The sequence below is a fragment of the Homo sapiens genome, chromosome 2 (assembly GCF_000001405.40).
Source record: "Homo sapiens chromosome 2, GRCh38.p14 Primary Assembly".
In the NCBI taxonomy this organism is placed as follows: Eukaryota; Metazoa; Chordata; class Mammalia; order Primates; family Hominidae; genus Homo; species Homo sapiens.
Window position 1 is genome coordinate 106501492 of NC_000002.12, and position 26307 is coordinate 106527798.

Consider the following 26307-nt stretch of genomic DNA (forward strand, 5'->3'; position numbering starts at 1 on the left):
GCCAACGTGGTGAAACCCCATCTCTACTAAAAATACAAAAATTAGCCAGGCATGACGGCGGACGCCTGTAATCCCAGCTACTTGGGAGGCTGAGGCAGGAGAATCGCTTGAACCCAGAAGGCGGAGGTTGCAGTGAGCCAAGATTGTGCCACTGCACTCCAGCCTGGGCGACAGAGCGAGACTCTGTATCAAAACAAACAAACAAACAAACGAACAAACCCTATATGTATCTATAAAAATTACATAGGCATGGAAAGAGAAAGTTACTAAATTATCAATGGTGATTAATTCTGTGAAGGAGCAAAGATGTCAGGGAACACTCTAATCCTATATTTAAATGTCTTACAATGAAAATATATTCAGCTATTTCTTGTGAAAAATAAAAGTTTTAAAAATAAATAGTAAAAGACTCATTACCAGGCATGAAAATTGTCTACTTCTTAAAAATTTGAATGTGGGACATGAAATTTTATAATAAAATGATTTCAATAATGTTTAAAGTGCTTACAAAGACTAGACGATGGCTGGACATGGTGGCTCAGGCCTGTAATCCCAGCACTTTGGGAGGCCAAGGTGGGCGGATTGCTTGAGGCCAGGAGTTTGAGACCAGCCTGGCCAACATGATAAAACCCTCTCTCTACTAAAGATACAAAAATTAGCCAGGCATGGTGGCACATGCCTGTAATCCCAGCTACTCGGGAGGCTAAGAATGAGAATCCCTTGAACCCAGGAGGCGGAAGTTGCAGTGAGCTGAGAATGCACCACTGCACTCCGGCCTGGGTGACAGAGCAAGACTCTGTCTCAAAAAAAAAAAAAAAAAAAAAAAAAGACTTGAGGAAACATACATTACATCGAAATACAAATGGTGGTATTCTCTGGGAGGTGGGGCTTCCAGTTGAATTTTTCGCTCCTTGTATTTTTCTGCGTGTCTCACGCAGAAAAATGTTCTGTGTTGAACACATGTCACATGTGTGTTTTCCAGGCCCACTTTGTAGCCCCGTCACCCTTGGCCTGCTGGTGGCTGGCGTCCTGGTTCTGCTGGTTTCCCTGGGAGTGGCCATGCACCTGTGCTGTGAGTTGTCTCCTCTTGGGTTGTTGGGTGTCCCTGTTTGCTGTTTGAAGTGTCCCTGGGATACTTTCTTCTCTAGGGGAGCAGAGCAGATGGCAGCCTGGTGGGAATTTGCCTCAGAGAACCTGCGGTATTTCCGGAGGTAGTTCTTGGCCTGGGGCTACGCAGCCAAAACCAAAGACCACCCTGTCCCTGGAGTCAGGCAAACCTGGGTTTGAGTGCAACGTGGCTGTTTCCTGATCCAGTGCCCCGGTCTCTCTGAGCCTCGGCTGCCTCAGATGGGGGTAGGACATTAGCTACCTCCCAGAGTTGCTGTTTGTAAATTCCTACCCCAAATGCCTGGCACTCGGCACGTGTCAGTGAGTGGGAACTCACGTGAGCAGTTGAGACCAAAGCCCAGTGTCCAGAAAAGTTTGCCTATGGGGTTTGTGTTGTGTTCCTAGAAGCTAGAAATCCTCTCCACGACACCGATATTGATGAGGCTGTGGGAAACAGAAATGACTGCTGCTCCCAGCCACCCCAGAGACTGGACTGTTTCCTTCTATGGCCCCCACCCCAAGCTCTGCACAGCACTGGGTTCACAAGAAAGACGGGGAGCCGGAGGGGAGGCCTGCATGGCTGCCCTAGAGCCCAGAGCCCAGACTCTACCCCGGTTCTTCTGCTCACCTGTGCCACCTCGAGCCAGCCCCTTCCCCTCTCTGCGCATCTATAAAGTGGGCAGGTGGGACAGCAAGGGCATGAACTAGATCAGTGGCTCTTAACTTTTGTAGGTCACAGACCCCTTTGAACATACGATGAAAATAACGGACCTCTCCCCACAGAAATGCACCCAGGAGCATACTTTTGCCTACAATTGTTCCCCACAGAGGGGCCCATGTACCCCATTCTAAGAAACCCATAAATCTCAGTGGTTTGCAAACTCTCTCGATCAAGGAAGGACCTCATTGGTAAAATATTTTGAAACACATTTAATAACATGCATAAAATGTTAAATAAGCGAATACAGCTAATTGAATATTATAAAGTAAATGCAGCAGTTGGCTGTATTTACTTATTTAATATTTTATGTATGTTATTAAATGTGCTTCAAAATGAAAAGCAAGTTGGGTGTAGTGGCAAGTGCCCGTACTTGAGAGGCTGAGGAGGGAGGATCACTTGAGCCCAGGAGTTCAAGTCTAGCCTAGACAACATAATAAGACCCCATTCCTAAAAAAATAAATGAAAATCAAAAGTAATAAAGGCTGAAATACAAATGTCAATAGACATGCTTTTATTTTCTTCCTAACTCCCAGTGGGAAATCTCGCTCATCCTCTGAATGCAATTGCCCTAGCCTGAGACTGCCTGTCTCTGGGACCTTTCATGTCTGACCTGCTGTGAAGGGCAAGCAGGTGTGTTTAAGGACACAGACTCTGCAGCTGATTAATTGAGTTTGAATTCTGGCTTTCCCACTTACTAGCTGCATGACTTTGGGCATGTTATCCAGTAATTCACTCACTCTGTGTCTCAGTTTCCCACATATAAAATGGAGATCTTAAAAGTAGTATCCAACTCAGGTTTTCAGTGAGCATTAAGGGGATTAAAATGTGTAAAGTGTTTGGGCCAGGGTCTGGGACCAGGGAGGTGGGCTGAGGTGTCAGCTGCCCCTGTGACAATCCTCCTTGGCCTCTGGGGCTCAGCACAGTGACCCACAGCCCACACTGACTGGCGCCCTTGCTTTCCTCTTCCAGGCCGGCGGAGGAGAGCCCGGCTTCGTTTCATGAAACAGTAAGTGTATAACCTGGGTGTGGCCTTGGGTTCCTCAGCCCCTGCTGCAGCTTGCAGCCTCTAACTGCGGCGAGGAGCCAAAGTCAGACCTCATCTTCCAAAGATCATAGACTCGGCCGGGCGTGGTAGTGCACACCTGTAGTCACAGCTACTCGGGAGCTGAAGCAGGAGGATCACTTGAGCCCAGGGGTTCAAGGCTGCAGTGAGCTATGATGGTACCACTGCACTCCAGCCTGGGCAACAGAGTGAGACCCCATCTAAAAAAAAATTTACAGACTGTATAAATAGGTGGGGTGATAGAGTTCAGGAACCTAAGAGATAACCTAAACAAACAAAAACCTGACCAATAAGTTAAATGTATTTCAACAACATTCTTAGCTCTCCTGAGGAGAGCAATCAGGCTTTGCATGCACAGAATACCGCAGAGTATCCCAAACTCATCCCATCCGTTATTTCATCCCACCTATTATTTCATCCCCTTGGTTCTGTGTGAGATAAGGGGTTATCACCCTCATTTGACAGATCAGTGGAGAGACTACTGGAATCGGATTTGAAGACCAGCCTCTTCCACCAGCCATTGCTTTCCTTCCCTAGGAGCTGCCTTTGTCCCACCTGCCGCCCTCGACCCCATCTGGGTCCCAGGAGTTGACAGAGTCACATAGCACTCTTGGGGCCCACTAAGCTGAGAAAGCGCCTGTACTTACCCTGGGCTGGGCTGGGACCTTTAGTGGTGGCCATTTAGTCACCACCTTTGCAAGTTGCTTTTCCCTGGTAGGGCAGTGACATTAGGTCCTGGGTCTTTCATGAGGCTGTTGGAAGCCATCCTGGGCCAGGGCAGCATTCCTGCATTTGATTTTTGTTCCTCAAAACAGAGACTGTTTCACATCTGCCTATCCAGTTAATTACATTTGATCCTTAGAACAACCCCCTCTATACAGAAATGTTTGGGGGAGCAAAAGTACACAACTCTAAATTGACGAGGGCAACAGGTTCTCTTGCTCAAAAGCTCCAGCTTTAGGTGGAGACAGGGCTGGGTTTGAATCCCGTCTGCCAATCACCATGTGACAGCCAGCAAGTCACTTCATGTCTCCAAGTCTCGGATTTCTCGTCTGTTAAATGAGCTAACAGTGCCAATCTCACAGTCAGTGTGAGGGCTCACTGGGGTATTATCCTTAAAGCATGTGGCCCCAGGACCCCTGAGTCAGAGCACAAGCTCAAGTCACTTCAGTAAATTCCACTCTGCAAGTGCAGCAACGGACAAACAAAATGTATTTTTGAATACTCTAAAATTGTAAATAGCCATATAAATTCATATTACTATATGCTCTGCACTGTTGTACACATTATATTTATATCGAGAGTGGCTTAAACATGCCTGCTGGATTTTATGGGCAATTTTCAATGATATTTTAATTGTGTACAATTTTCACCTTGTGTGTTGGATTTAGAAGCTGCCCCCTACCCAAGAGATAATAACTTGAGTGTAGCTGTCTCAGGCCAGACCTCTAGAAAGTTCCATTCAAGGCCGGGTGCGGTGGCTCAAGCCTGTAATCCCAGCACTTTGGGAGGCCCAAGGCAGGTAGATCGCCTGAGGTCAGGAGTTTGAGACCAGCCTGGCCAACATGGTGAAACCCCATCTCTACTAAAAATACAAAAAATTAACTGGGCGTGGTGGCGGGCGCCTATGTAATCCCAGCTACTCAAGAGGCTGAGGTAAGAGAATCGCTTGAACCCCGGAGGCAGAGGTTGCAATGAGCAGAGATCACACCATTCCGCTGCAGCCTGGGCAACAAGAGTGAAACTCTGTCTCAAAAAAAAAAAAAGAAAGTTCCGTTCAAAATCTCTCCCATGATGACCTTTCATGGAAAGTAAGTCCCTCTCTGGTACTAACTGTGGTCTGGGTCTGTCCCCACCCCTTCATTTTAACTTGCTCCCCAGTGATCTGATGCCAGTTTTGGGGAGGCTGGATGCAGGACCTCATGCTTTTGCAAGCCCAGGGTCAGCTTGAGGCAGGGAAGGGGCTCTGGGTGGTCGTGGGGGGACCCTGAGACCTCCTCACTCTCTTCATTTTGAACAGACGTACTCTCTTCTACTGTCTGGGTTTACACTTACCTGTAACATGTCATTTGAACAAAAGGGTTTGTGGCTTCAGAAAAGCTTGAAAACCACCTCTGGTTTTGCTCTCATGATCCAGGCATGGAGAAAATAGCCTGTGGTGCTCACAGATCTGAGTTGCGATTTGAGGTAGTTGTTCCCCAGCCTCTAACTGTCCTTAGAAAATCATCCCATCCGCAGGCTAATTTCTTCTGGCCCCTTGATATAAATTTGTGATTCTCTTAGATTATTTTAGAGGTACTACAGGAAGTAACCCAATTCAAAGCTACCGTTCTTTGAGCTGCAGTTTTGTTTTGTTTTGGTTTTTAGCCTTAACAATCTTTTTAATGACTAAGATGGGCCCTAGAAACATACTAACAAAAAACTCTCGGCCCCAGGCTACTTGGAGTAGAACTCTGCATTCTCACTTGCCATTTGTCTCTGTTACAGGAAATTCAATATCGTTTGCCTGAAAATAAGTGGTTTCACAACTTGCTGTTGTTTTCAGATTTTACAAATGAGCAGAGAATACGGTTTTGGTGTCCTGCTACAAAAAGACATCGGTCAGTAACGAGCACGATGTGGAAAAATGAGAGAAGGGACACATTCAACCCTGGAGAGTTCAATGGCTGCTGAAGCTGCCTGCTTTTCACTGCTGCAAGGCCTTTCTGTGTGTGACGTGCATGGGAGCAACTTGTTTGTGGGTCATCGGGAATACTAGGGAGAAGGTTTCATTGCCCCCAGGGCACTTCACAGAGTGTGCTGGAGGACTGAGTAAGAAATGCTGCCCATGCCACCGCTTCCGGCTCCTGTGCTTTCCCTGAGCTGGGACCTTTAGTGGTGGCCGTTTAGCCACCATCTTTGCAAGTTGCTTTGCCCTGGTAGGGCAGTAACATTGGGTCCTGGGTCTTTCATGGGGTGATGCTGGGCTGGCTCCCTCTTGGTCTTCCCAGGCTGGGGCTGACCTTCCTCGCAGAGAGGCCAGGTGCAGGTTGGGAATGAGGCTTGCTGAGAGGGGCTGTCCAGTTCCCAGAAGCCATGTCAGTCTCTGAGGGCTTCCTTTGGGGCCGGGAACTTGCGGGTTTGAGGATAGGAGTTCACTTCATCTTCTTAGCTCCAATTTCTACTCTTAAGTTTCTCAGCTCCCATTTCTACTCTCCCATGGCTTAATGCTTCTTTCATTTTCTGTTTGTTTTATACAAATGTCTTAGTTGTACAAATAAAGTCCCAGGTTAAAGATAACAAACGGGTCCTGTGACATAAACGTACGAAAGCCCATCTACAGCAAAGACATCAGTGCTCAGTGGAACAGAAACCAGAAGGAGAAAATTTGTACATCCTCCTTTTGCACCTGAGATCCTCATTTGCCCGACATTGTAGGTGTGGAGAGTCCTAGAGAGGCTAGGAAGCGCCCAGGGCACCCAGAGCCAGGCTGCAGGTGCCTCAGGCCCCTCTCCCAGCCCACTCCCAAGCTGAACTAGCACGTGTTCATTTCTACCGCGGGTTGAACCGCAGGGATCCCTGGCTTCAAGTCAGGCACCAAACAGAAGGTAGGAGGCATGAGGGGTTCTGTCACATGTCTCTTCATTTTCTTATTGATTCTTAGCCTTGACAGTTGGAGAAGGAAAAAGCAAGGAGAAAGTGCTGAGCAGGAGTGGAGAGTGAAGAGCAGGACCTCGTGCCTGGGTTTGAAAAAGTGCCTGAGACCCATCTTAGCCGCCCCTACCTGAGCTTTAGCAGCCTAGGAGCTATTGCACCATAAAACACTGCAACCTGAGGCTGCATTAACAGAAGCACCACGTCCAGGTCCAGGGAGAATCCAGCCTCACCTGCTTCTCCTGGCCAGCTCAAGGAAGGACATTGACAAATCAGGTTATGTTCAGTTACCTGTGACAACCACAGAATGTAAGAAATGTTACAAAAAAAACAGGAAAGGAAAGACGACTCTGGGGAAGGGGCAGTGGGACCTTCTCCTGGCATCTGGGGTGCGGCCGCAGCAGAATGAGGTGTGGTGGGTGGAGTTAGAAAGGCATAGATGCAGTGTTACCGGAAGGAGGGCCTTGAGTGTAAGTTGTCCAGGTCCTTGGCATTTTGAACAAAGAACTGAACAAAACATACAAAGTAATAAAGGAATAAACGCAGCAAAAGGAAGAATTTATTGAAGTGAGAAAGCACTCCACATGGTAGGAGTGGACCCTAAGCAGATAGCCCATGGGCCCAATTGCAAAGTTTTCTGGGTTTTAAGTACCCCTTTTGAGGTACCTGTCGGCTACCCCTTAATCTGGGTGAAGGATTTGGTCCATGGCTAATGAAAGGCTGAGGTGAATTGACGCCCTATGCGGATGAAGGGATGGCCCGTGCTTGGTCTGTGGTCAATCCAGGGCAGTCTCCCTTTCCATCTGAGATGCAGTGGAAGGGGGAGGGTTGTAGGGAGAGTAGCCTTTGATCCTTGGTTACTCAGTGTGGGGAGATGGGGTTTTTCCTTTTGGTGTACGTTAATTGGCCTTAGATGCCCTGCCCCCAGACCCAGGTGTTTTCCGTTTGCTCCAGCTTTGAGAAGTCAGCACAAATTGGCCTCAGATTCCCTGCCCCCAGACGTAGGTGTTTCTCCTTCATTCAGCACGAATTGGCCTTAGATGCCCTGCCCCCAGACCCAGGTGTTTTCCATTTGATCCAGCTTTGAGAAGTCAGCACAAATTGGCCTCAGATTCCCTGCCCCCAGACATAGATGTTTCTCCTTGATTCAGCACGAATTGGCCTTAGATTCCCTGGCCCCAGACCCTAGACTCCTGCCTCAGCAAGAGTTGTTCAAAAGAAACAAAAGCTCTGCCCATCAGCTCTGAGGACAAGGGACAGGCTGCCTTCCAAGGCTGAGGGGAGGGGTGAAAGAATTGGGGTCAGCTGGACCAGACTCCTCTAGGGTTCGTGTTTCAGGTGGGCCCCTCACCCGGCCCATCACAAACAAATAAGAGATTAAGGCCTGCAGTGCACGTGGTCTGCCCTCCTTGAAGGCTCACACCCAGTGCACAGCGGAAGTAAGAACAGGCCACAAGGCCCCTTGTCCCACTGCAGGCTTTGAAATTTGACCATCTCCCTGCTGCTGTCTTTGCAATTGCATGTACTTGTTCACAAGTTCTCATGGGGTTGGGCTGGGGGCAGGGGTGGTTTGTGCTCCTCCGTCAGTTTTCTGTGCAGCAGGCACCTGCCGAGGCGGGCTCAGCTCCGGCCACCCAGGGAGCTGGAGCAGGCTGGGCTGCCAATGGTGGGGGCTGCAGTGAGAAGGTCTGCACCCAGCACCTGACCTTTGTTTGAAGAAGGAACTGAGCTGCTACTACACTCTATAGGGCCATTATGATGAAATATGCCCCCCAAACTCCATCCAGCTATCTTTTGACTAGCAGTTCCACTTGTTGGCATTTATCTGAAAGAAATACATCAAAAAGTGGCATGCACAAAGAAATACGCATCAGATTGTTCCTTCTAGTGCTGCTTACTAGCTAAAAATGGGAAATAATCCAAATGTCCATCAAAAGGGACTGGTCAGATAAATTCAGACACAGTCTAATAAGGGGGTTTAGGCGGCTGCTAAGGAATGAGCTAGATCCATATATGCTGATATCAAATGATGGTCATGACAAATGCATATATTTTTAAAACATCTGTATAGATTATTCTTAATACAATATATGGCGCAATACGTAGTCACTGTTAAAATTCAAGCACAGAAGAAAACAAGCAAAACAAATATATGTTGTTAGAAGTTAGGATACAGTTACCCTTGGTCCAGTGATGGTCATTAGGAGGGAGCATGAGGTTTGAAGGTGAGCGTTTCTGCTTCTCAATCTGGGAATCACTTATATGAGTGTGTTTCATTAGTAAAAGTCATCAAGCTGTACACTCAGATATGTTGACTTTAGAGCTATGGATATAGATGTAAATTATACTTCAAGAAAGAGACTTTTTAAAATCCAAGTACAGAACATTGTAGAACCGTGTAAAATTGGTATTTGGAAGTTTCTTCAGCAAGCACATGGGATTACAGCTCATGCCTGTAATCCCAGTACTTTGGGAGGCCCACACAGAATGATCACTTGAGCTCAGGAGTTTGAGAGCAGCCTAGGCAACATAGCAAGACCTCGACTCTACAAAAAATTTTTAAATTTTTTTCTGGGCATGGTGGTGCTTGCCTGGAGTCCCAGCTATTAGGGAGGATGAGGTGGGAGGATCTCCTGAGCCCAGGAGTTTGAGACTGCAGTGAGCTGTGATCACGCCACTGCACTCCAGCCTGGGCAACACAGACAGACCTTGTCTCAAAAATAAATTTTTTCTAAAAAAAGTTTCTTGTTTTTTTTTCTTCCCATATTTTTTAAAACATAAAATTGAAATCTCGAGAATATAATACATAAAATAGAGAATATAGAAAATTAAATCTTCTAATATTGTTCTGCAGATTTGATCTTTTTTCTCTAATAATAAATCAAGGCCTCCGGGTATATTTGTTTGTATATGTACAGGAAAAGGTCTGTAAGGATTTACTTTCAGCTGTTAATTGCAGTGACTCTGGGGAATTTCCACTTCTGCTTTGTACAGTTCCTTGTGTGAATTTTTACATCATGTATTACTTTTGTAGTTGGGGAAAAAGCAATTAAAAGTTTGGAAAAAAAGAACCTCTAGCCATTGTTATAATAAGAAGTTGGAATCAATAAAAATATCCACAAACGAAAGATTTATTCATAAATTAAAAAAATCTGAACCATGGAAATCACGGTGAGGCAGGTCCGAGGTGGCCAGACAGCACAGCCTGGGTCTTCACCAGCTGTAGACTTTGGGCGAGCTACATTTGCAATTGCATTTACTTGTCTGGAAGTTCACATGGGGCTGGGCTCGTGGCAGGGGTGGTCTGCACTCCAGCAACCTTAGGTGAGCCTGGGTTCTCTGCTCTGAAGGAGAACATCTATAGTACTCCCTTTTCTGTGTTTTTCTGTGGACCTTAATGGGTCTGGGAGCAGCACTGGTGTTCTCCCCTCCCCCCGCCCCCTTCCTTTCAGTGGGAAGTAGCCTGCAGGTGTGGAGCCCACCCCGGCCTGTTCAAAAGAAGAAGGGGGGTCCTACACCACCCCCTCCCTTTCATCCTTACTCATCCTCACCCCCGCCCCGCAGCTTGTGTCTCTACCTGTAGGAAGTGGGCAACTTGTTTTCAGAAAGTGATCCCCGACCCCGCGTGGGCTGCAAAGCTGATCCGAATCTACCACCCAGTCAAAGGGAAAGACAGAAAGAGCCCTGTCTTCAGAGGCCTTCCAAAAGATATTTCCTCTGTCGCTTCTTGGGAAACCTCCTTCGATGCGTCACTGACACTCCCGGGGAACCGTGAGTCACTGGTTCCTGGAGTCCTCCCAGTTACATAACTCAAACAGAAGGAAACCATATTCCTCAGCCCTGCGTCGGTTTGAGATTCACAGAAATATGCACGACACGTGTGATTCCTGTAAAGCTGAAAGCAGAGGCGCTGAAAAAGACACTTACATCCTCCACAGTACTGTTGGCTCTCCTGGATCCTGCTTTTCCCATTAGTTTACTGCCTTTCACAAGCGAGTACCCTTTTAAGAGCTTTGCTTAGACTTCTAAATTTGAAAGGAAACCATGTCCATTCTTCTACGTAATTTTGTTGTTGTTTGAGACAGGGTGTTGCTCTGTCACCCAGGGTGGAGTGCAGTGGCGCACTTATGGCTCACTGCAAGCTCTGTCTCCCCGGCTCAAGCGATCCTTGCACCTCAGCCTCCTGAGTTTCTGGGACTATGGGCATGCACTACCACACCTGGCTAATTTTTTATATTTCTGGTAGAGATGGGGTTTCCCCATGTCACCCAGGCTGGTCTTGAACTCCTGGGCTCAAGCAATCCATCCGCCTCGGCCTCCCAAAGTGCTGGGATTACAGGAATGAGCCACAGCACATGGCCTTTTCATGCATTTTTAATTGTAGACCATTTCCACTCCTGTCCCTATTTATGACTGAACTAATACCCACAACTCTGCACTCAATTCTCCTCTTCCTTGGGTGTGTGTGTGTGTGTACAGTGCTCTGTTGCCCAGGCTAGTGTGCAGTGGGGCCATCATGGCTCACTGCAGCTTTGACCTCCCTGACTCAAGCAAGTAGCTGGGACTACAGGTGCTCACCAGCATGCCCAGCTAATTTTTTTTTATTTTTAGTAGAGATGAGGTCTCGCTATGTTGCCCAGGCTGGTCTCAAACTCCTGAGCTCAAGCGATCCTCCCACCTTAGCCTCCCAAAGTGTTGGGATTACAGGCATGAGCCACCATGCCCAATCCCTTAAGTTTCTTGATGCTGGTTCAAATATATCTATTTAGGGAAACTTCTGTGTGCCCAGCCAGCCCTGTGCTGGGACTAGGGGTGCGGCATGGCCAGGATAGACATAGTTGGGCCCCCAGGGCTCGCAGTCTTGCTTACAGCCTCTAGGCCTCAGTTCCCTCCCTAGTAGCCCAGGGCCGAGGCCTGTAGGGGTCCTCTGGCTCTTTCCTGCCACCTGTACAAATCACTCCTAAGCCTGAGGCCAGAATTGAAATGAATGAATGAACAAAGCAAAAGGCTCAGATAGAAAGTCCTTAGGCCCCCACAAGCTGAGAGCACAGCCCTCCCTCTCCACTGCCCCTCCCAGCACCTCCTCTGCTGGCTCCCCCACCCATCCGCCCACCCACCTTTCTGTGCTCCTCAAGGCTGTGAGGACCACTCGGGATGTTTACTCTGCCAAGTACAATGGACAATCCCCTTAGAGAACCAAGTTCAACAACTCAGATCTCAATCAGGCATGTGTTTCAGACACTAAAGATTTGGCTCAGAAGATGTCCCTAACCCCACGGGCTTTCATTCTCATGACCAGGGGGACACAGGCTCAAGGCTGGCACTTGCGTGGCTCCAAGAGTGAGTGGCCTCAGTGCCTCACTGGCTGCAGCCTCGTGCCAGCCCCGGACAGACCAGAGAAAGACCCGGGTGATGCCAACACAAGCAGAGGGCATGGATTGCCTTCTCAAAAAAGTTGTGTTTGGCTGGGAGTGTTGTTCACAGCCTCTTACAGATTTTGTGGAGGTCTCTGCGGTTGGGTGAGGGCAAAGTTACGAGGGGAAGATGTGAGGTGGTGTTGGTGGAGGGGTGGAGGCTCCTCTTCCCCACACACCCCTCCCCAGCACCCCTTCAGCATCCTGCAAGCCTGAAGCTGCCTGCTGGGCTAGGCCTGCTGTCTGGGCAAGACCAGACCAGGCAAAAGGGAGGCCATGACTCCCACCCCTCCACCCTTACCTCAGCCTCAGCCAAGTTTGGGGGACATGGGGAGGGGAGAGCAACAGTAAACGTGATCAGCACAAAAGGTGGGCCTACCTTCGGATCACGAAGGCTCTAGCTGGGCCAGGGCAGAAGATGGAGTTTGGGTTGTCCCCGCCTCTATCTGAGTACCTACCCTGCAGCCACACTGATGCTTCTGGTTTGGAAACAGGGAGGGAGGGTGGCTTCCACAAGACAAGCAGGCTTTGGTTGAAGTCCTTTTGTGGGCCCTGCTCAAAGCCCAGCTCCCTAGAAACTCAGAAAGCCATGTTGGGTGGTCTATCTTGTGGTGTAGGGGATGAAGGAGGAGAGAAGAAAGGCTCACAGTGGCTCAGACCAGAGCCAGTGCTCACTCTGGCAGTTCCATCTTCCTCCATCGAAAGTCTGCCAGCCCCACCGAGCACAGAAAGGAGCTTATCAGTGGGAGAGGGAGTAATACTGTCGGCCTTTTATCTGTGTAATTTCAGAGTGCGCCTGTGTGTGCTTCTGTGTGTGGCAGGCGATTTGGTGGGGTGGGTGCAGGGGAACGCTTGTCTTTTTTTTTTTTTTTTTTTGAGACACAGTTTTGCTCTGTTGCCCAGGCTGGAGTGCAGTGGCACGATCTCAGCTCACTGCAACCTCTGCCTCTCGGGTTCAAGCGATTCTCCTGCCTCAGCCTCCCAAATAGCTGGGATTACAGGTGCGCGCCATCATGCCCAGCTAATTTTTGTATTTTTTAGTAGAGACGGGGTTTCACCACGTTGGTCAGGCTGGTCTCGAACTCCTGACCTCATGGTCCTCCTGCCTCGGCCTCCCAAAGTGCTGAGATTTCAGGCGTGAGCCACTGTGCCCGGCCTGGAACGTCTGTCTTATAAATTTTTCCTAGTCATTGTGACATACAGGGCTGTTCAATGGACAGCTATCCCACGTTTGAGCCTGGTCAGACGCTCCTGATGGTAACTCCAAACCTCCCCACCCTCTCCCCCACACTGCTTTTAATATCCAAGCTCAGTTAAGACTTTTGTGTGTGTGTGTGTGTGTAAGAGAAGAAAGCTGATTCACACGTTCTCATTTCTTCTGCCATGACCTCTACACCAAAATCTTTTTCATAGCATTCTTTATGACTCTGGCATGGTTAAGCATACATTTTCCAGAAAAATAATAATCTGTCATTTGCATACAAATGTCACTGAGTGAGTAAAAATGTAAAACAGTGATGCTGCTCACTGCTGGAAAGCTTGTGGCCAAGGGCACACAGGTGTTGCTGATGCTGGAATAATCGAGCGCTACAGCTTTGTGGAAAACAGTCTGCCTCTCCCAGTCCACTGACTCAGATGTTAATCTCCTTTCGCAACACTCTTACAGACACACCCAGGAAAAGTACTTTGCATCCTTCAATCCAATGAAGTTGACAGTTAATATTAACCATCACAGCACCTCTGCTTTCTCCCACCACAACCCAAGATGGGACAGATGAGCATTACTTTTCTGGGATGGAGGCTGTCCTTGTGTAGCTGGGTTTGTGACTGCCCAGCTAACACTGGACAGATATTAGGTGTAGCCTATTTCCTGGTACCCACTCTTGAGGAGCTTATTGCTCTTTGTCATAGACTGCCCTGTTTGTGCTCCCCACAACATTCATGTTGAAACCTTAGCCCCCATGTGATGGTGTTTGGAGGTGGGGTCTTTGAGAGGTAGTTAGGTTTTGATGAGGTCAGCAGGGTAGAGGCCCCATGATGGGATTAGTGCCCTTAGAGGAAGAGGAAGAGACCAGGTTCTTTCTGCTCTAAGCCATGTGAGTATACGGAGAGAAGGTGCCATCTATGAAGTAGAAAGTGGCCCCATTAGACAACAACTGTGCCAGCACTTTGATCGTGGCCTTCCCAGCCTCAAGAACTGTGAGAAATAAATGTTAAGCCCTCCAGCCTATGGTATTTTTGTTATAGTGACCCAAACAGACTAAGACTTCTCTCAGGAATCTTTCTACACCCCCATGTCTGGAGGGAAGGTCAACAGGATCAACAGCATCAAGAAATCTGAGCCTCTTCTGAACACATCTCCTTCCAGAATTGGAGATCTTTACACACTTTAGACTCCTCTTTTTTTTTTTGAGATGGAGTCTTGCTCTGTTGCCCAGGCTGGAGTGCAATGGCGTGATCTCAGCTCACTGCAACCTCTACCTCCAGGGTTCAAGCGATTCTCCTGCCTCAGCCTCCCGAGTAGGTGGGATTACAAGCACCCACCACCATGCTCAGCTAATTTTTTTTTTTTGTATTTTTGGTAGAGTCGGGGTTTCACCATGTTTGTCAGGCTGATCTCGAACTCCTGACCTCAGGTAATCCACCCGCCTTGGCCTCCCAAAGTACTGGGATTACAGGCGTGAGCCACTGCACTGGGCCTGGACTCCTTTTTTGAAGGTTTGAGCATGTGAGTGATGGGAGCCCTTTCTGCCCCACCCCACCGCCAGCATCTCACTTCTGTCTGTGCATTCCTTTCCCAGCAGCACCAGGGGGACATCCACAGTAGCTTTGCTGAGTTCACCAACCAAAGGTACTTACAAATCCTGAAGCGAAGGAGCACCTTTCCTTCACCCTGAGGGTGAGTAGGAAGGCTCACGTGGCCTCTGGGTTTCCGAGGACATGACATACCCAGGCCTAAGCTGACCCGATACCTTCTTTCCCGATGTACCCCTGGTTTGTGAAAATATTGAGTCCCAATTTGATAACACCAATGGCCGGTTTTATAGCAGTATGTGTCCTGGTCAGGGTTCTTTCTGTAGTATTTATCCCTCAAGCACTTATTGTGAGTGATGCTGTCAAATAAATAGAAAGATGAGAAGTATAAATATTGTCTTCCGGAGTGGCTGTGTATGGCAATGGTGTTTCTCTGACACCATTATCGCCCTGCCTGTTAGCACTTACTTGTGAAATCCAGAGCTCTTTCGTAAGCCTTTGCTTTGTTTGGGGTTTGGGGCACTTATTTTTTGGAGTGTTTGTATACCACAGCCATAAGTTATACCACACATATAACTTGTGTGCATATTTTAAATAACATGAAATTTAAAAAATGGTTGACTGGAACCTAAACATTTCAATTCTAAATGATCTTTCATTACCAGGCTTTTTCAAAATTTATTATTCAGAATTTATTAATATGCATTATTCATATTTTTATTATAATATATGAAATAGTATATATTGATATATTATATATAACATGTACTTATATAATATATAATATATATTTCATATATGAAGATTAATACATGATATATTTTATATATTTCATATATGAAAATTAATATACATGAAATAAATATTTCATTATATTATCGATTTCATTAATAATATTTATTAATTTTAATATTCATTTATTACTCAAATTTTATTATTATTTAATTTCCTAGCTTCCTTCCATATTTTTTGGCACATTCCTTTGCTCCTCTCACCCCCAGCTTGCTTCACTGATCCTGGGCTCCTGCTTTTTCTGGAGAATAGTCTTGTTTTTCCACATTTTATCCCTTTGGTCATGCCGACTCCCCCAGCCTAGGCATTTTTGACATCCTCTCTATTCGGGACCCCATTTCAAGTTACAGACTAAAGGCTTTAGATTTTCCCCATACCCCGAACTATCTTTGATTTCTCGCTTCTTTCTGCTTAGGCCCTGCTGACATTTTTGTTTCTTTAACAGTATACCGGCCACGCCACTTCCATGCTAAGACGTCTCCGCTGACTCTCGGTTGCCTGTGGCATCTCACTGTCTCAGGTCACCAGACGGGAAATTAACACCAACATGAAAATCCAAGTCTTAATTGCGCAACATTGAGCCCCCAACTCCCCACAGAGAGCCCCGTCAGCCTCCCTTCCCCAGTTCTCTGGGGTTGCCCAGGGGAGGTTCACAGGTAGCCAGGCACTCAAAAATGTCCCTTCCTATAGTTTTTAATAACAGCACGCTTTGTTTATAGCTTCTGTTTTTTTTTTGTTTTTTTGTTTTTTGTTTTGAGACAGGGTGTCGCTCCGTCGCCCAGGCTGGAGTGCAGTGGCGCGATCTCGGCTCACTGCAAGCTCCGCCTCCCGGGTTCACGCCGTTCTCCTGCCTCAGCCTCCCAAGGAGCTGGGACTACAGGCGCCCGCCACAACGCCCGGCTAATTTTTTTTGTAATTTTAGTAGAGACGGGGTTTCACCGTGTTAGCCAGGATGGTCTCGATCTCCTGACCTCGTGATCCGCCTGCCTCGGCCTCCCAAAGTGCTGGGATTACAGGCGGGAGCCACCGCGCCCAGCCTGTTTATAGCTCTTTTAAGGAGCTTGCAACACTGTAACAATACTGAGGCTTCTGAATTCCTGGGCCATAGGGATGAGATTTTCTTCATCCTGCTATTTCATACCCAGCCTAGCATGGTGTCTTGTATGCAGTGGGTAGGTAGTAAACATTTATTTGAGCTTTGAGATGGTAGGAGGGTTCCTTGACTTGGGCTTCTTTAGAAAATGAAAATAATATTTTCTACTCTTTCAGAGGAAAGAAAAGAGGATTAATTACGGCAGCTTTGATAGGAGGACATTATTTAGGAGTTACAAAGCAATCAGTCAGTTGAGAATTGCACAGTAGGTAGGGCATAAGATGTAAAGACATAGCTGAAAATACTGAAAGAGAAGGAGCAATAGCTCAGCAATATTAATCCTCATTTAGGAGTCCAGTTTTTCATTAGATGAAAAAGTGATAGGTTCTGAGCCCTGGAAGATGAACTTTCTTTACTTAATCAACTCATATTGGTTTCAGAATGTTGATTTGTTAGAGGAATACCGAGTAGTATAAATTATAATACCAACTATTCTCTGTAAGGCAAACCAATATTATTTTCTAGAAAAAATGAGAAGTTAAAATTAATTAATTCATCTCTCCCTGTCCTCATCCATCTATCCATCCATTCATCCATGTATCCATTCACCATCCATTCATTCCTTCATTCACTGCTCCATCTATCCTTTCTCCCTGTCTCCTTTTCTCTCTACTTATCCCTCCGTCTATCATCCACCCATTCCTTCATATCTCCATTGCTCTATCCATTTTCCTTCCTACATTTTCTCTCTCTCACTATCCATCCTTCCATCTTTTTATCCATTTATCCCTCCACTCATTGCTCCGTCCTCCCTTCAGCCCTCCAACCATCCCCTAAACTCCTCCATCCCTCCATCCCTCCACTCATTGATCCATCATTCATCCATCAATTCCTCCATCCATCTATCCCTCCATTCATTGCTCCATCCTCCCTTCATCCTTTCAACCATTCCATCAATCCCTCCATCCATTCATTCCTCCATTCACTGCTCCATCATCCATCCATCCATCCATCCATCCATCTTCTATAGGCCTCATCAAGATGTTTACAAATTAGATGATATTTTTAATAGTACACTTACAACAATAAGATTACTAAGGCTTTAGTCCTTGTGACCTGATTGCTGGACTCCTCCTCAAAGGTTATCCCAGGCATTTCTGAATAGCCTCCAGCATGGTGCTCAGATTTATTCATCTCTCTGGCCACCTTGGGGGATAGTGGGTGATCACTGTGTGATGACTGCCTGGCTGTCTGTGCCTGCTGACCACTACTGCTTCAGTGAAACTGTCTCCAGGGAAGAAACACATCCTTTGACTTCTGAGTCTCAAACATTGGCCAGTTATTTTCTTAATTCCTCATAACATCACTGAACCAGGCCCTGTATTGAGGGTTCGGGGTAATATAAGGGAAGCGCCTTACAGAGAATAACTTTCCAGTGAATGTGGCCTGATGGAGAGCGTTCCTGACTAGTGTTCAGCCCTGATGCCTAAGGCAGAGTGAGCCCAACAACCCTGTGACGAAGACCATGCTCTGAACTTACACCCCAACGCTGAGACCCAAACACATGCAGGCCCAGAGAGCAGAAGTGCTTCCCCGTCCACCTTCGTGTAACACAGGGGTGTCCAATCTTTTGGCTTCCCTGGGCTACACTGGAAGAAGAACTGTCTTGGGCCACACATAAAATACACTAATACTAACAATAGCAGATGTGCTAAAAAAGAAAAAAATTGCAAAATAAACTCAATGTTTTAAGGAAGTTTACAAATTTGTGTTGGGCCACATTCAAAGCCCTCCCAGGCCACATGGAGCCCGTGGGCCACAGGTTGGACAAGCTTGGTCTAAGACATATTTTGTGTACCATTCTGTTCCGCTTGATAGCAGGCTTATCAGCAAGTTAGCCAGCGGGGACATCCATCACCTCAGGAAAGCCCTGCCTACACCCGCTGGGATGTGGTTTCATCCTATGGCCCTAGTTAGACAACTGAATCACCCCAGGACAGTGTAGACCAACTTCAGTGTGGGCTTAGAACATTTTACCTCCAAACACTCTCTCTCACGACACAGTGTATCCTTGTCTAAATTATAGTTCATTCTTCATTTTATAGTTCTATATTGGTTTATAAACATTTATATACTCAATGATTATTGAAAGGTTTCTGAGACCCAATAAATAAAATCTGTTTTCCTTAGCCATTTGAAAACATGAGGAAACAAAGGAATCCGCTGATGGAGACTGAAAAATGACAGAAGGTGCTGTGAACCACAGATTCCTCATTGCCTGCCTGCCCCACAGTCCTAAGGCCATCTCAGGCTTCCCTACCTGGGGCCTTTCCAGAATCATTGAGGCTCGGGGACCAGAGACACTGGGGGTAGGTGGTTCTCAGAAGGCCAAGGGGGATTAGGTTGCACATGGCCTGGCTGTCTTTCAAGCCTCCTGAAGTGGCCTTGTTGTCTGCGATAATATCCGAGGTTTGTTGCCTCATGCCAAGAAAATTAAGGACATGAACACACACAAGGAGTGAGTTTAAGAGTAGAGGATTAGGCCGGGCATGGTGGCTCACACCTATAATCTCAGCACTTTGGGAGGCCGAGGTGGGCGGATCACTTGAGGTCCAACATGGTGAAACCTGTCTCTACTGAAAATACAAAAAATTAGCCGGATGTGGTGCCCCACACCTGTAATCCCAGCTACTCGGGAGGCTGAGACAGGAGAATCGCTGGAACCTGGGAGGTGGAGGTTGCAGTGAGCCGAGATCATGCCACTGCACTCCAGCCTGGGCGAGAGCGTGAGACTCTGTCTCAAAACAAAACAAAACAAAAAAGAGCAGAGGTTTAAATAGGCAAAAGAAAGAGAAAGGAGTTAAGAGTGGAGGCTTAATAGGCAAAAGAAAGAGATAGGAGAACAACTCTCTCTCTAAGAAAAAATTGCAAAAAAAAAATCATAATGTTTTAAGGGAGAGAGAGAGAGAGAGAGAGAGAGAAAGAGAGAGACAGAGAGAGAGACAGATGCGAGAATGGAAAGAGATAGATGCCGAATGGGAATCGGATTTTATAGGCAGGCTTGAGGAGGTGGTGTCTGATTTACATAGGGCCCACAGATTGGTTGGACCAGGTGTGACGTTTACATAGTGAGTGGAGAAGCTGGCCACCACACTCTAATCGTATTATGCAATGGAGCCTTCCACTTGGCCGGCACCATGTTTTCTGCTCCCTACTGCACAAGTGGCTGGCAAAGAGAAGGGAAGATGAAGCCACCATTTTGATCATGCCTAGTCTCAGGTAGCCTTTTCCTAATGGCACGGCTGCTAGCATTCACCTGTGAAAGCTTCGAGCTTGCGTGTCTATGTCTGCAGCTCAATTTTACAGGCTGCTCTTTGTTAGAAAAGAAAATGATATGGGGGCTGCTTTTCATTAAAAGGAAAACCTTACCGAGGACTTCCTTACCCTCACTGTCTGCCTGTATAATTTATTCTTAACTCTTATATCACTCCAATCAGATAAATCCCACAAGAGAAGTGACTGAGAACGTGGAGGGAGGCCTGGTGCTTTACCCATGTGGCTAGAGTGAGCAGCACCCTGGTTTGTCTAGGAAAGAGGTGGTTTCCAGGAGGCAGCACTTTCAGTTCTGAAACTTGGGCAGTCCCAGGCGAATCCGGAGAATTTGGTCACCCAGGTTATGGAAAACCCTCCCCATGATGGGAATGATCAGAAATGGGGAAAGATAACTCTAGTCCTAGTTTTCCCTATATTTTAATTCTCTGACACTGTAGTTCTCAAACTTCAGCTGCATCGGCGTCCCCTGGGGCTCCTGTGAAAACACTGGTGTCTGGGCCAACCATGGAGTGTCTGGGTGGGGCCTGGGGGTCTGCACTTCTAACAGTTTCCCAGGGACAGTGCAGTTGCTGGCCTGGAGCATGCTCGGCTGAGGACCGCTGCTCTGATGCGTGGAGAAGAAACATGAAGTCCGCAGCTGCCCACATTCAGGGAAGATCTTTGAAAGCTCTTCAGACAGTGCCACCCATCTTCATGAAGCTGATCCCCGGATCTCACTCGCTTGTTTCTCCTCCTTCACCTGCTGATGATCAATGTAGACTTTAGCCCTCAGAAGCTCTCAAAAGGTCAGTGCCATTACATAATTAAATTTATGGCTCTCCTCTACACAGGGCTAAAAAGTCACTCCTGATTTTATTTCCTCTCCCAAAATATGACATCAGAATTTCTGGAATAAGATTAAATAATATCAGTGATATTCTAATAATAGATGGTTAAAGAGAGTCCAATAATAAAATTCCCCAAACATAGAGATGTCCACAATTTAAATATATGTTAAATTTTTGTGAAGAATAAGTCACCAATTAAATCACCTGGCAAATTAAACTCAGTCCAAAATCAAATTATTTTGCTCTTGTGAGTTAAAAGTCCAAAGGTACTGGAGTGAAAATGCACCATTCTCAATTTCTTACTCTGTTCAGTCTTTGCCAAGGAGTTCTGGGTGCTGGTAAAGTCAGGTCTGGGGTCCCTTTAGCAGCTGTACTGCTTCTCAGGGCTTTCCACAGGGCCCTAAGCTGAATTAGTTTAACCTCAAGTCTCCCATGTCTTTACTTTTGAAAGTGTCAAAGAGCCACTGGGACTCACATACTTCACAGGCCTTACTTGACATTTTTAGAAAATGAACCAATTTCCATCCCTGAGCAGTTAATGTAGAATTATGTACGTAGGTTTGCAAAGACCGTAGCAGAGACTGAACAATATCTGAGTGAGGCAGGCACCTTGTTCCCTGCCCCACTGAATCCCAGGCAATCATTCCGTCAGGGGCTCAGAGAATGTGCTCCAGGGCTGTCTTCCTGGGCACAAACTGCACTGCACCCAGGAACTTAGAGACCCCCACTTGACTTAAAGTTCTGCTATTGCTCTCAAAATTTTTAATGATTTTAAAGGGCCTAAATTTTATTTTGCAATAAGCCACATAAATTATGTAGTCTATTTTGCCATGGTCTTTGAACTCAAACCCAACTGGCAAGGGAGCTCTCAAGGTGAGCTCAAATATGGCAGTCTGCTGATCCTACCAGGGAGAAAAATTCCCCGAACACAGAACAAACCCTGTGTTCTCTGAGAAAGAGAGTAACATTTGAGACACTGCTCCCATCTTGCAAAGATGAGAAATTTGCTACCAAGTGATCCTCGATCACCTGGCTTTATGTGTGGTAAAACTTCCTTACTATCCTGTTCATTTCCTCTTTGAGCCCCAAGTTTCTGTACAAGTAGACAAAGCCCAACCAAATGAGAAAAGCAAGGCTATTTATCCAGAGCTTGCTCTAGCAGGGGGGGTCAACTACTGTCACTTGTGTTTTGGCAGAGACTCAAAGGCAGGCAGAGGAGTGGAAAGCCTCACCGTAGAAGGAAGGGAAGGTTCAGATGTGCCCTGACTGGAGGCTGTCGGTCTGGGGTAGCTGCAGATGGCTAACTAGAAATAGGGCCTCCTGTGTGATGCACTGGGGGGCAATGTTTGGCTTTCTAGGGTTGGTCCTACATTGAAAGTTGGTGTTACAAGAACATCAGGAGTTTGGTCTAGGTCCTGTTGCTCACTGCACAGAAAGCCAATCCCTGAGACAATGAATATTGCTAGGGAAGAAAACTTTTTATTCAGGTGACATCAACTAGGAGAACAGGAGGTAAGTCTCAAATCCTTCTGCCTGAGTAAATTTGGGGTATTTATATAGCACAGGAAGAGACGTAGCTGCAAGGGGGAAGGAATGAGGAAGGTGTAAGAAGGCAATCAAGATGAATTGCTTTCTCATTGGGTCGGCTGTCTCATTGTCTAGATGTGGTGATCTGGTGAGTTTCAGTCCCTTGAGCTCCATCCGATTAGGTAATGTAACTTTCAAGTGTTAAGCCTAGGAGAGTAAATTTCTATGCTTATTCAAAAAGTCCTGTAAATATCAGTTCTCTTAGACAATTGGGCAGGTTTCATAGGGACAAAAAAGAGGAAATGTGTCAGTCACTAATCAAGTGTCGGCCATGTGGGGCTGATTGTTACAGGGCTTATGATTTAGCTTCCTGGATTGTTGCTAGAGATAGTGGCTTGACTTCCCACTAGCCTGACATAATAGTAGGCTGGCTTCCTGGGCTGGTTATTGTAGATAAGGGGCTGGTTTCCTGGGCAGGTTGTGGGTCAGAGTTCTATTTTCATACATGGTCAGGCCATTGTCCCTTTGTATATTCATGCTCTTGTTTCTGATGCCCGAGGCCTGGGTTGAGGCTGAGCTTTATTTCCGGGCATTGTTTTCTGTGGGCTTGGTGGCTTCTGGCACAGCCCAGGCCTGGGAAGCCTAAGGCAGGCCTCTCCTTCTGTTGAAGGGTGTTCAGCTGGAGAACTGCCCTCAGCCGATTCCTGAAGCACCGTCCTGAAGTGGTGCTTTCCAAACCTTAATGTGACTAGGCATCACCTGAGTCTCTTGTTTCAGGAGGTGGGTGGGACCTGAGACTCTGCACTTGTAAGAAGCCCCAGTGGTCCAGTGCTGCTGCTCCGAGGACCATAGTTGGAGCAGTGAGAGCCCAAGTGCACATTATGGGTCTTAAACTAAAGTTGCTGCTGCTGCTTCAGAAGTATATTCTCTTAGTGGTCTCAAGAGCACTTCATCATCCCTTGCATCTCCAGGCTCTGAGTGGAATTTCCGGCTGCTGCGCATTGTTATTTTTATTTTTGCCAGTGCAAACTGTACCTCTGGTGTGCAGTTCCCCACCAGGCTGCACATGGGAATCCCCTGGAAAACTGGGTGCCTCTGCCCTACCCCAGGCAGAGGTCCCATCATGTCTGAGGCCCACGTCCCTCCCATACGCAGCCAGGACTCAGAGCACCCACTCCAGTATTTCTCTTCATCTACTCTCCTCAGCCAGTCTCCAGCAGTCTGTAAGAGTTAAACTGCTTTTTAGATGTCTTGCCTTCCTTCTACATACATGGGTCATGCACAGGGCTGGAGACACCAACTGGAACCAAAGGCCCTTCTTTCTGAGGTTTTTCTTTGCCCTCTGGCTCAGGTCTGTTTGTTGTCTAATACACTGCTCAGATTTTGCTCAGTGGAGTCTCCCACAGTGGGAGATATGCAATCAATGGGCCCAGGGTTTGCCAAAGCATTCACTCATCCATAAATCTTGTCCACGCTCACCTAGTTAGAGAATCTTCTCTCCAATCAATACCTGATCTAGGCCAGAACTCATTATCCTGTTGGGTCCCATTTAATAAACTTCACTCTTGCTCACCTTCCCTATGGGCCCAGATTCCACACAGGTCTTGGGCATGTTTGTTCAGGGCATAGGCAGTACCGGCACCCTATCTATCATAACTTGGTCTACTGAAGCATCATACAGCAATTATTTTTCTTTTTATTATGGAAAAGTACACATGACATGAAATTGATCATTTTAAGCATTTTAAAGTGAACAGTTCATGGCATTTAGTGCAGTGATAGACTGTGCAGCCATTGCCATTATAGATAGTGTTCTACCACGTTTTCGTCACCCCCAAAGGAAACCCTGGACTCATTAAACAGTTTACTTTCCATCCCCTCCTCTCCCCTGTCCCTAGCAACCACTAATTTGCTTTCTGTCTCTGTGAATTTACCTATTCTGGATATTTTATATAAATAATGTATAATATGGCCTTTTGTGACTGGCTTTTCATTTAGCATAATATTTTCAAAGCTTATCCACATTATAGCTTGTATCAGTACTCAATAACCAGCACCTCCTTTTTCCATCCCAGTGTGGAAACAGCAGGGAGATAAGATATAAGAGTCCGCAGTGAAGTGCAATGAAGGACAGAGAATTTGTCAATTGATTTATCTGTACGAGGCCAAAGATATAAAATACACTTTTTTTAAAAAAATTACTTGGCCCGGCGTGGTGGCTTACGCCTGTAATTCCAGGACTTTGGGAGGCCAAGGCGGGAAATTGCCTGAGCTCAGAACTTTGAGACCAGCCTGGGCAACACGGAGAAACCCTGTCTCTACTAAAATACAAAAAAATTAGCCACGTGTGGCGGCATGCATCCGTAGTCCCAGCTATTCGGAGGCTGGGGCAGGAGAATCACTTGAACCCGGGAGGCAGTGGTTTCAGTGAGTGGAGATTGCAGTACTGCACTCTATCCAGCCTGGGAAAGAGAGCGAGACTCCATCTCAAAAAAAAAAAAAAAATCACTTTATGAATACAACTCACATACCTAAAGTATACAATTCAATAGTTTAAAGTATATTCACAGAGTGGTGAAACCATCACAGAATTAACCTTTCAACTTTGGCACTTCACCTCCCAAAATGAAATCCCATACTTGTTAGCATTCACGGCCATTTACCCCTGACATGCCTGCCACCCCCTCTTCTGAAACTCCTAATTTACTGTCTTCATAGATTTGCCTGTCGTAGACATTTCATGTAAATGTAGTCATACACTATGTGGACTTCAGTGACTGGCTTCTTTCACTTAGCATAATGTTTTCAAGTTGTATACACGTTGTAGCACCTGTCAGTATTTCATTCTTTTTTATTGTCAACTAGTATACCACTGTATGAATGTATCATTCTTTTTTTCTTTTTTCCTTTTTGAGACAGAGTTTCGCTCTTGTTGCCCAGGCTGGAGTGCAATGGTGTGATCTCGGCTCACTGCAACCTCTGCCTCCTGGTTCAAGCGATTCTCCTGCCTCAGCCTCCTGAGTAGCTGGGATTACAGGCATGTGCCACCATACCCAGTTAATTTTTAGTAGAGACAGGGTTTCACCATGTTGGCCAGGCTGGTCTCGAACTCCTGACCTCAGGTCATCTGCCTGCCTCGGCCTTCCAAAATGTTGAGATTACAGGCGTGAGCCATGGCACCCCGCTGAATATATCATTCTTTACTTATCTACTCATTAATTGATGGACATTTGGATTATGTCTACATTTGAGGTATTATAAATAATGCTACTATGAACATTCTAGTGTACACTTGTGTGTGAACATTGGTTTTCATTGCTCTTGGATATATACCTAGAAAAGGAATTGCTGGGTGAAATAATAACTTCTATATTTAACTTTTTGAGGAACTGCTGGACTATTCTCTAAAGTTGCACCATTTTACATTCCCACCAGGAATGTAAGAGGGTTCCAATTTTTGCACATCCTTGCTAGCACTTGTTACTTTTTTCTTAAAAAAAAATATTACCATCCTAGAGTTGTGAAGTGGTATCTCACTGTGGTCTTGAAACGGCCTGAAGTCTGAAAAACCAGACTGCTGGTCGCAGGTTCCTGCAACTCAGGCTCAGAACTTCTGTTCCTGTTTTCCCATCCTTTCCAGATTGATTTTTTCTGAAGAATGCCTTTTAAGCAATCGAATGTTGCCTTTTCTAATGCTACCAACAGTCTGCCCCTCCCCTATTCCGAGCCAATAAAAAGCCTGGGATCAGCCGGGCACAGTGGCTCACGCCTGTAATCCTAGCACTTCGGGAGACCGAGGTGGGTGGATCATGCGGCCAGGAGTTCAAGACAAGCCTGGCCAAGATGGTGAAACCCTGTCTCTACTAAAAATACAAAAAAATTAGCTGGGCGTGGTAGCACCGCCTGTAATCTCAACTACTTGGGAGGCTGAGGCAGAGAATTGCTTGAACCAGGGAGGTGGAGGTTGCAGTGAGCCGATATTGCAGCACTGCACTCCAGCCTGGGCCACAGAGCGAGACTTTGTCTCAAAAACAAACCAAAAC

General features: G+C 46.6%; 1 protein-coding gene across 3 annotated transcripts in view, besides 1 other annotated feature; it reads left to right on the forward strand.

Moving 5' to 3' along the window:
- The window catches only part of CD8B2 (CD8B family member 2), a 56934-nt gene that overhangs the window by 14128 nt on the left and 16499 nt on the right, over positions 1-26307 (forward strand). The window contains exons 4-6 of one of the 3 annotated variants that reach the window (XM_024453217.2): positions 983-1072; positions 2798-2834; positions 5379-9652. In XM_024453217.2, coding sequence (XP_024308985.1) covers positions 983-1072; positions 2798-2834; positions 5379-5499 — 248 coding nt within the window. In that variant the 3' untranslated portion in view covers positions 5500-9652. Of the gene's footprint in view, positions 1-982; positions 1073-2797; positions 2835-5378; positions 9653-26307 lie in introns of those variants that run through there. The other 2 variants (NM_001349727.2, NM_001368307.2) reach the window with 2 other exon arrangements.
- Positions 1024-1523: an enhancer, noted in NCBI's record as "H3K27ac hESC enhancer chr2:107118971-107119470 (GRCh37/hg19 assembly coordinates)". NCBI's record gives its function as "activates a minimal SCP1, AML or CMV promoter by ChIP-STARR-seq in primed H9 embryonic stem cells {active_cell/tissue: H9 hESC(primed)}" and the evidence as "EXISTENCE:reporter gene assay evidence [ECO:0000049][PMID:30033119]".